At 39.3% G+C, this 11235-nt stretch overlaps 1 long non-coding RNA gene across 1 annotated transcript; it reads right to left on the bottom strand.

Moving 5' to 3' along the window:
- Window positions 1–251: 251 nt before the first annotated feature.
- LOC102724849 (uncharacterized) lies at window positions 252–10416 on the bottom strand. The gene is made up of 4 exons (NR_110607.1): window positions 10398–10416; window positions 7131–7231; window positions 1728–2173; window positions 252–510 (listed from the first exon to the last, which is right to left on the bottom strand). It is a non-coding gene; the product is annotated as an uncharacterized LOC102724849 (long non-coding RNA).
- Window positions 10417–11235: the final 819 nt, after the last annotated feature.

Below are 11235 nucleotides of genomic sequence, written 5' to 3'. Positions count from 1 at the left end.
GCAATTCTCCTGCCTCAGCCTCCCAAGTAGCTGGGATTACAGGTGCCCACCACCATGCCCAGCCAATTTTTGTATTTTTAGTAGAGATGGGGTTTCACCATGTTGGTCAGGCTGGTCTTGAACTCCTGACCTCAGGTGATTCACCTGCCTCGGCCTCCCAAAGTGCTGGGATTACAGGCGTGAGGCACCAAGCCCGGCCACAATCCATAGTTTTTACAACCTTTATTCTTAATTACAATGAACATGATCCATTTTTAAAATAACACTTTATTTTTCTCCTGAAGTAAATCCATGTATATTCTTTCAACAGGTCACAAAGGCCTTCCAGGCCAGATAGCTCAACATACTCCCAGCAGGGATGCAGTATAGTAAATTCTGTTCATTTTGCTTTGTTTATTTACTCATGTAACAAATTAAATCTTGTGTGAATCAGTGTCATCTTCATTGTTACTTCTGCATTATTGCATTTGTAAGGGTTCTTTCATTGCAAGCAACAGAAACCAACCAGGGCTATGGTGGACAAAAAAAAAAAAAGGAACGTATTGAAAGAATATCAAGGTTTCTTAGAATCAAAATGACTCTGGAGAACTGGGCTTGGGGTCAGACTCTTCTCTGAGCTCCAGACCTTAGCGGCTACAAGTGGATTTCTTTTTTCTTTTCTTTTTTTTTTTTGAGATGTAGTCTCTCTCTGTGGCCCAGACTGGAGTGCAGTGGCACAATCTCAGCTCACTGCAACCTCCGCCTCCCGTATTCACGCCATTCTCCTGCCTCAGCCTCCCGAGTAGCTGGGACTACAGGCACCCGCCACCATGCCCGGCTAATTTTTTGTATTTTTAGTAGAGACGGGGTTTCACTGTTTTAGCCAGGATGGTCTCGGTCTCCTGACCTCGTGATCCGCTGCCTCAACCTCCCAAAGTGCTGCGATTACAGGCGTAAGCCACCGCGCCTGGCCCCTACAAGTGGATTTCTTAAAGGCACCTCAGAATCTCTTCCTCCCCTTCTCAGACAAACTTTTCTCCTGCTTAAACATTTTCCATGGCTCTCAATTGCCCTTAGTATAGTCAAGAACTTATGCTCAGAAAGGCCTCTCTGACTGTATTAATCTGTTCTCACACTTCTTTAAAGAACCTCCCAAGACTGGGTAATTTATAAAGAAAAGAGGTTTAATTGACTCAATTCCACATGGCTGGGAGGCCTCCGGAAACTTACAATCATGGCAGAAGGAGAAGCAGCCACGACTTATATCGCAGCAGGTGAGAGAGAGAGAGACCACATGAAGGAGGAACTGTCACACACTTATAAAACCATCAGATCCCATCCGAACTTATTCACTTTCAGGAGAACTGCATGAGGGAAACCGGCCCCATGATCCAGTCACCTCCCACCAAGTTTCTTCCTCGATACGCGGGGTTTATGGGGATTATAATTTGAGATGAGATTTGCATAAGAACACAGCCAAACCATATCACTAACCTTCAATGATCTTGAATGTGTTGCCTGCACTAACTCCTCCTTTCCCAACTCCCGCTCAGCACCCAGCCCCTTCCAATCAGACCTCTGTCTAACTCGTCAGCATCCTCTCATGCCAAGTTCTCTCGACCAGTAAGCTAGAGCTTCCTAACTGGTTTGACAAAGCCCACAGCACTTCTGTAAGCTGATCACAAAGATGCCAAACTATTGAACTGTTTGATATGGCCAGAAGCAGGGGTAGGTCCATTGATGCTTACATGCAATGAGGTGAAAACACCAGGAAGTGAGCTCCAATCCAGTCATGCTGATCTCCTTCATGCCCACAAGTGAGTCAGTCTCTCCGCTGCATTCAGGCTTCTGTCCATGATGTTCCCACTGCCCAGAATACTGTGCCCAACTCCTCACCCAGCTCATCCTTTGAGACTCAAGTTTTGCACCAATTCTTCTAGGAGACCTTCGCCACCTTCACATATTTGGTTAGCACACCATATCATTCAGACCCACAGAACTCTTTACTGCATCTTTTGAAATATCTGTGGCACTAGAAGTCATTTTCATGAATGTCTGACTCCCCCAGCTATATACCCAGCGGATCAGGGTCTCGGTCTGGTTCACTGCTACATTTCCAGCCACAAGAAGAATGCAGGCAGATAAACATTCAGTAAATTGTTGGTGCTGAGTGATTGTTGGCAATCATGATTCCCTAGATTTAGATAAGTAAAAATAATAGCAATTATTATCTTCTATGTGTAGACTCTTTTAAAATTGTTTTTGTAATTAGAATCTTTTCTTATCTGGAAATAAAGAAAGTGAAACACTGTAAACAGAAATTAACAATACACCTAAGGTGGCACATCCCATTAGTGGGAGATCAGTAATGAGAACTCAAGTTCTCTGCCTTGGCCCTCTGTTAATTAGAAGTTTGGGAAAGCTTTGGGCAGGTCTCTGACTTTCTAAGTCTGAAATCCTGTAGAGAAGCTAGAATTCTTTTTCAGAAAATACACATGACTGCCACAGTCATAGACAGACTTTTAGTTAGCATGAGGTACTGGTCTGACCCATTATAGCAGCATAATCATGCTCATATTGCTTTCTGTTGATTCACCTGAAATTTCAAGCATTAGAAGAGATCTGGTTATAAAAATTTTTTATTATCTGTCATCTATCAATTTTGTGTTTTGATTTAAAAATGCAACCAAAAAGATAACAGGAAAAGCACTGAAAATATACCATTGTTATGGTTATTCAAAGAACTTTTTTACAGTTTTGTAAAATTGCTAGCTCTCTACTTGGGTTTTTCTCTAATGATTCCACACAATTCACAGAGGCAGCTGAAAAGAAGGAAAAGGGCTTCTGGTAAGAAATATAAGAAGGCAAATGCAGCAACCGTGTGTAATTCTGATTTCTTTTCAATACGTCATGTGACATTTCTGATTATAAATTGATGGCAGACCCGCACTGGTATGAAAAATTTTCTGTTATGTCATGCAGACATGTTATTCATAACAATGTACCAGATGGAAAACGTGAGCACTTTAAATGGAAAGTGAGTTATTTGGTCTTTCTATTTTGTATAAATCTTCAAAGCATAAATTAAAAGCAGAAGAGTGCCTTGTACAGTTTCAAGATCTAAAAACCTCTACCATACTCTGCAAATTTCTCAGCAGTGTGAAGGACAGTGTGTTCAGCTAGCCAGACAGACAATCTTATCTATTCTCTATGTTGTTGTTCCACTCTGGGATGACTGGGTTAAAGAAAAATGTACCCTGAAATGAGTATTTCCAACTCTAAATATGCAACATGAACCTTGAGGCCAGACAGGGTTTATTTTAGTTTCTGCTCACAGTGCTGTGTGTGCTGCTTCATGTTGAAAGATTTCTCATTCAGAAAATATTTCAATCTTTCATGGTTTTGCAGTGACTACATAAAAGAAGACTCAATGCACAGAGAAATAATCTCTTAGATAGCCAATTGAAATGTATTTATTTTCATTTTGTATTGCCTGAATAATTTATGTGTTATGTTTTGCTACTTATAGAGATGAGGAACTTAAAAGGCAAGTTTTTAGAGCTAGGGAAGCTTTTGTTTTTCTTCCATAAACATCAAACTAGTACACAGAATGTCCTCATTAAGCAATATAATAAAATAAAAGGTGAATATTTAATACATAAGGAGAAATAGAAAAATTCACACTTACATTATTGCCATACACCTCAATGCATAAAAGAACTACAAAGCGTGAAACTGAAATGTCAGAATGACAAAACCTCTAAAACGGAAATATCTCCATTGGCCAAGAATCTATAAATTATTTCTACCCTTAAATACCAGCAAGGGAAACTATAGAGCATACGTTAAACTTGGAAAATAGGAAACAACGCTTCTGTGACAAGGACAATGTGGCATATCAAGTGCTTACACTACCCTGCCACTTCCTACTCCAATCCATCCCATATGGAACTGCCGGAAGAGCCTTCTGCAGTTCTGAACATGTTGCTCCCTGGGTTGAAAATATTCAAAGGCTTCTTCTTATCTACAGAATACTTAGAAACCCTCTAAGTCTTTAGTTTGGGGCTTGAAATATGTTGAAATATTTATAAAGCTATATTATGACAAAGATTTGCTTCAAAATAATCTGGGAGACAGAAGAGAAGGAGGGAGGAAGTAGAGTCATAGAAGGAATATAACTGATCATGAGTTGATCATTGTAGAAAATGGGTGGTAACCACATGGCTTTCATTATTCAACTTTCCCTACTTTTATGTGTTTATAAAGTTAAAAACAAAGCAACAACCCTTCACCTTAACATTCAAAACCTTCTATAATTTGGACCTAATAATTTACCTTTCAAGTTTACAGTCAACCCATTAAGCAACTAAAGTCACATCCAAATTCATTTTCAAAATTTTGTCCCTGAGTATATCTTTTCTTGACTCAGCGCCTTTGTTCCAGCCATTTTTCCTTCCTGGGATGTACGTGTCTCCCTGCTTTGATTATTGGTCCATATTTTCTGAGCCTGAGTTTCCTCCTCTTTAAAATAATGGGTATGGACCGGGTGCAGTGGCTCGTGCCTGTAATCCCAGCACTTTGGGAAGCCAAGGTAGGTGGATCGCCAGAGGTCAGGAGTTAAGACCAGCCTGACCAACACAGTGAAAACCCATCTCTACTAAAAATACAAAAATCAGTCAGGCGTGGTGGCACATGCCTGTAATCCCAGCTACTCGGGAGGCTGAGGCAGGAGAATCCCTTGAACCCAGGAGGCAGAGGTTGCAGTGAACCGAGATAGCACCACTGCACTCCCACCTGGGCAACAGAGCAAGACTCAGTCTCAAAAAAAATAAAAATAAAAATAAAATGACAGATATGGACTAGAAAATTCCCAAGGTCTCTTCCAGCTTGAAATTACTGAATAGGCTTGACACTCACTTCTAAAGGCAAAGATCTACTTAGGAATAAAATCTGTGGAACAGAGGACTCAACTAGCTACAGTCTGAGCTGGAACTGATGTCACCTGTAATATCAAGTTCTTTGGGGGATTTCAATAAAATTAGAATCCCCCCCCCAACCTTTTAAAAAAATGTTTCACTATTATTGACTTCTTTGAAACTTTTCATCTCATATGAAAGCTGGCCTAAATAATCTGTAAGGTCCACTTAGCAATACATTCCTGTTTCTGGGGAGACAGGATGCCTTAGGGAGAGAGGTACTTTGAGACTGAGACTAGGTCATTAAGGACTGGTTGTAGGAATTTGGCAAAAGAGTGTGAGATTGTGAAGCGTGGAAATGAAAAATGGGTTCTCCGTGTACCATCTGAGCACTAGTTCTCTTATGTCAAATGACTTAGAGTGAACATTTTTGTTGCTTAGATTTTCATTATTAATTGTTAACTAAAATCACTTGAGTGATTAAAAACTCTTGGCAGCCACTGAATGTAACAAAAAAGCAAAAATTTGTTAATAGATTATTCAAATCTACTTAAATTGTTTTAAGTGATTATTCAAAATAAATATTCTTATTGTCTGATTATAAAAGTCACACACATTTGAACCAAATGGCTTTGGTTATGTATCTCTGTTCCTCTTCCATGATCACTATCCCCCCTCACCCACCCACCAGAGTACAACAGGTATGTTTGTGCTCTGTGAGCCTGTCTGATTGGATCAGAGGGTAGAGATTCTCTCTATCAGGGTTCTATAGCTGGGATTCAAATTAATTAATCAATCTGAATGTTTACAGTGGGAACGTTACATCGGAGGCTCTGTGAGCCGACTGTTAGAACTCTTGGTTGACAATGACAGAAATGCAAACTCAAATGTGCTTAAACAAAATATAATAACTTATTGGCTCAATAACTTAGAAGTCCAGAAGCATGATATGTACAATGCAGCACCGTATAGATGCTCAAATGACATCTTCAGAGCTGAGCCCTTCCATCTCAGAGCTCACTTTTCTTTGGGGTGCCTTCATTCTCAGGAAGGCTGTTCCCACACAGAGGCAGAGTAATCACCAGTAGCATCACACCTACATTCTACCACTTTAGCAATTCCAAACGGAAGTGTGATTATTAATTAATTCTTTAAAAATTCTCAGGAAGGGTTTCCATTGGCCTAGTTTGGACTGCAAGCCCAGCCATGAACAAATAGTAAAGGCTGTTGGTAATCAGGTACTGCAGTGCTCTGATTACTGGGACCTGAATCAAAATCCCACCCTGAGATCAGCAGGACCTGAAAAGCATGCACTGAAAGTGGAGAATGAATGGGTCTTTAGAGGAAAATCGGGGGGTTTTCTCTTATCACAGGGTCACATATTAGAAAAAGAGGTGATAATATTAGGTTGGTATGAAAGTGATCGCAATTTTTGCCTTTATATTCAATGTAACATATTCAATGGCAAAACCGTGATTACTTTCACATCAACCTAATACTTAGTTAATTGACTATTAATTCACCGATCGGCTGAGGAACTATCTAGGGCCAGCTTTGGAAGAGCCCCTTCTTGGAGAGAAGATATATAAACAGAAATTTGCTAGCAGAATGGACTGACTGAGTGGCTGCAGACTTGGGCTTTTTATGATCTAAGTGGCTGTGGTGCTTTCCCATTCAACCGATTGACTACTGAGCCTTATTCATTGGTCATTGTTTATCTTTGCTTGGATTATGCTGGGAGAGAATGACCAAGGCATTTGGACCAATCCAAGGAAAAGCATATTTAGGGTTCCTACCTGGTCCACTGTATATGTAAACATGGCTTACCAAATTCCTGGCCAGGCGCGGTGGTTCATGACTGTAATTTCAGCACTTTGGGAAGCCGAGGCGGAAAGATCACTTGAGGTCAGAAGTTCAAGACCAGTCTGGCCAACATGGCAAAACACTGTCTCTACTAAAAATACAAAAATTAGCCACGTGAGGTAGCAGGCACCTGTAATCCCAGCTACTGGGAGGCTGAAGTAGTAGAACCACTTAAACCTGGAAGGCAGAGGTTGCAGTGAGCCCAGATCATGCCACTGCACTCCAGCCTGGGCGACAGAGCGAGACTCTATTAAAAAAAAAAAAAAAATCCTGGAGTAAGTCTGAGGTATCAGGAATAAGCCTATTTATCAAATATAGCATAGTAACCTGTTGATCCAGTGTGCCTTGTCAGTTAATTTTCTCATTACTTACCTTTGAAGAAAATAAACTATACAGATTTGGTGTTTGCCAACAGGCAGAATATGTGGTTCCATTCACTGTCCAAATAAGCAGATGTAATCAGTTTCTCATTTCTACAAAATACAAACCTTTTATTGGTAAATTTGTTATAATTTAGAATGAATACATTGCCCCTCTTCATGCTTACAAAAATTCAGTTAACCTTAATCCAACTCAAGCCTCACCTCCTTTATAAATCCTTCCTTGATCACTCTGTCTACAACAATTTTCTTTCACTTCTTTCTTTTCTCTCACTTTTTCTTTCTCATTTTCTTTTTCTACAATAATAATACTAAATGTTACTCATTGAGCAACTATTATGTGCCAGGCACTCTGCTAAATATTTGTTAAGAATGATCCCTTTAAAATCCAACCAACAAGGCAGGTTATTAAAGATGATGCTTGTTTTGCAGAAGCACGGAGAAGCTAAAAAGCTTTGTCCAGTGTCACCTAATTTAGTGATAGAGCATGACTTTGAACCCAGATAGTCTGATTCTCAAGCCCATGCCCTTAGCCACTTTACTACACAACCTCTCACTGCACTTTTGATTATGTTATGTTATGTGGCAAAAGCGATTTTGCAGATGTAATTAAGGTTATTAATTAGTTATTTTTGTGTTAATTAAAAGCAGATTATCTGGTGGGCCTAATCTAATCACATGAACCTTTTAAAAGCAAAGAGCTTTCTCAGACTGGTGACAGAGGAAATGTCAGAGAGATTCAAAGCACAAGGCCACTGCTACCTGAAGATGGAGGGGAACACGTGCAAGGACTGGAGAGCTGCTTCTAGTTTCTGAAAACAACCGCTGGCAACAACCACCAGGAACTGAATTCTGCCAACAATCCATCTGAGTTTGGAGGCAGACTCTTCTCCAGAGCCTTCAGATAGGAGCCCAGCCTTGATTTCAGCCTCATGAGACCCTAAGCAGAAAACCCAGTCAAGCCCACCCAGATTTCTGACCTACTGAACTGTGAGACAATAAATGAGTGTTGTTTTAACGGGCTAGATTTGTGGTCATTTGTTCTACAGCCCCAGAAAACTAACCCAAGGCCAGATGCAGTGGCTCACACCTATAATCCCAGCACTTTGGCAGGCTGAGGAGGGCGGATCACCTGAGGTTAGGAGTTTGAGACCAGCCTGGCCAACATGGTGAACCCTCGTCTCTACCAAAAATACAAAAATTAACCAGACATGGTGGCAGAGGCCTGGCCAACATGGCAAAACCCCATCTCTACTAAAAGTACAGGAATTAGCTGAGCATGGTGGTGTGCGCCTGTAATCCCAGCTACTTGGAAGGCTGAAACAGGAGAATCACTTGAACCCAGGAAGCAGAGGTTGCAGTGAGCCGAGATTGTGCCATTGCACTCCAGCCTGGGTGACAGAGTGAGACTCTGTCTCAAAAAAAGAAAACTAATGCACACTTTTTTAAAATTAGGTGAACCATATGAAATTGCCAATATTGACTGTTGTGACCTACAGAAATAATTACTTCATTTGACTCAATCTAACATTATTTGAGGATGATCAAGCTAATATTATTTGCTGATGGGTTCTTAAAGACTTGACATTTTAGGAAGACGCAAAAAAATAAAGGTTTATAAATTTTACTCATCCCCATGTTCTTTACTCCCCAAAATGCACACACCAAAAAAAGTATATATGTTGACAATTTCTCAGTTCTGTGACAGAGAAAATGTCCTCTACTGCCTAACCTGTTGTTTCTAACTGCTGCTATTACCAATTGTGAAGATATTACAGTTCGTGTCTTTTCTCCAATGTGATCTTAAAATGTTTGAGATCAGAAACCATATTTTTGTTTCCAGCACAATGTTTGTTACATTAATAAATTTTCAGGTTTACCAGTGTTGGCACTTTGAAATGCAGAGTTAGTGATTCAGTTATGCAGAGTAACATTGGAGAACTTGCATTAGCATAACCACTAGAGAGAAAAGACGTTTTTCAGTGCAGACCCTAGATTGAGACTTTAAAACCCTTTATTTTCAAACTAAAAGAAGAGGTAAGGAGCACTGAAAGTCCCCATGTGCAAAAACAGGACTCAGAGATGATGACCGAGGTGAAAATTGAACAGGTCATCCTTCTAAAACAGCCCATGAGGGCATCTTGAGAACAAAGGACAAAGCAATCTTCATTGTTATAAACTCTTAATTATCCAAGAGGCCAGCAATTGTGTTTTTTTTTTAACAGAGCTTAAAATACATATATTTTTATTTACCTTTTACGTATGTGGTCAAAAGACACAAAAGGTTAATTCAGTACAAGGTGCAATGTTTGATCCCATGGAAAGAGTTCTGAGGCAGAGTCGAGACCAAACAGCTCCTCCTAGTTGTCATTGAGGGCATGACACTTAATATCAAATATTAAGGAAATTTGTTTCTGAAGTGTAACTCTGAGATGGAATAAGAAAACTAGCCATATATCCTGATCATTGTTGCCTCAAGGTCTGTGTATCAACTTTGTTCCATTCATACAGATAATAAGTGGCTGTGGTTAATTGATGAATAATTGCCAGGTCACTAGAACCCATCCACTTGGGAACTCCCCAGGACTGTGCTTTCAAATTAATACAGTCCGTTCTTTGGGAAATTTTGTTCAGTGTTTTTCTTCTAAACTTTAGAATCAGCCAAATAATTTTACCAATAAAATTTTAGTAATATACAGTACTATTTACAGAGTAATGCACAGAATCTCTTTTCAGAACTAACAAAGGAATACTAGCAGTAAAAAAGATCCTGCAAGGATCTTTTTTAAAAATCTGCTTAGAAAATAGATATGATTTAACACCTTAATTTGTAAAAATTTATTTCAAATGGTCTCCTTCAATAGCCCATTTTAAATGTTCTTGGTTCTTTTCTATTATTGCAAGCAGAGGCATGCTGTGTACTCTTAGTATTGTCTATTAACTAATACAAAAGAAAAAATTGGTGAAAAGGTTTTCATCATTGCATGATTCTGTTGCTCTTATAGAATACAAGTATTAGAATTGGAAGAGATCTTGGAAGGCATGCAGTACAATACAAGCATGAGTGACTCCCCTTCAAATACTATCCCCAAGTAATTTTATGTTTTTTGTTTAACTATGGCAGCCCATTTCAATCTTAGATAGCTCTTACCGTTAGGAAGTTCATCTTTATAGTGAAATAAAATCCTACCTCCCTGTAATTTTTATCTTTAGTCATGAAAGTCAAACTGTACTTAAGATGTGGTTATTTTGTTCTTACCTTGCTAGTTATAGTTTAATTACCAGTCTTTAAGCACTGTGAAAATTCTAACATTCTCATTCTATCAAACTACATTCTACATTGTACAGCAATTTGTATCTCCATAGAAACAATTCCAACACATAGAATTGTAATTCCCAAATGGCATAATTGTAAACATTTTCTCAGATAACTTCAAAGCCATTTCTGAAATTTCTTCTAAAACATTCACATGAACTCAGATTGTGAAAATGAGTTATACCTCCTTTGAAATCAAGTCGTTTTTTAATTCCTCCAAATATAAATGTTAAAAACTAAAATGTCAAAATAAGCAATGGTAGTATTAACACAGTTAATACTGAAGGTAAATGTTAAACACATGCTACTTTCTTTGCAAAGAGCATCTGCAAATTTAAAACCAAGAGTGGTCTCATTACAGACAAGTCTACTTGAAAAGTTACATTAAATTGTTTTACACGACATATCTTGGCATTTTATACTTTTTTAATTTTCAAAAGTTTATTTATAGAGAACACAGCTATTAGTGACGATGATTCTAGGTTTAGAGGGAACACATTTTCCCATTTCCTGGTGATTTTCCGTAAGCACAGTCTTGGTGCTCCTCTGGGCCAATTTTCCCATTTTGTTTCTCCTCTGGAGAAGTGAAGTGACGCACTGGCTTTGTAAATTTGGGGAAAATATCCAGACCAGCCTGATCAACTCTGCTCTCCTTTTCTCTCCTGGGTAGGGAGGCTGCTCACTGCGATCTCTGCTGCTCCTCTGTTTGTCCGTGCAGTTGGCTTTACTGGAACAGCAATGTGCCCTGTGTGGGCCACTCCTGGCCAGCAGGGACTGCAGA

Source organism: Homo sapiens, chromosome 2 (genome assembly GCF_000001405.40).
Source record: "Homo sapiens chromosome 2, GRCh38.p14 Primary Assembly".
Taxonomy (NCBI): domain Eukaryota; kingdom Metazoa; phylum Chordata; class Mammalia; order Primates; family Hominidae; genus Homo; species Homo sapiens.
The sequence above is the reverse complement of the archived record's forward strand: the minus strand, read 5'-3'. Positions and strand labels throughout refer to the sequence as shown.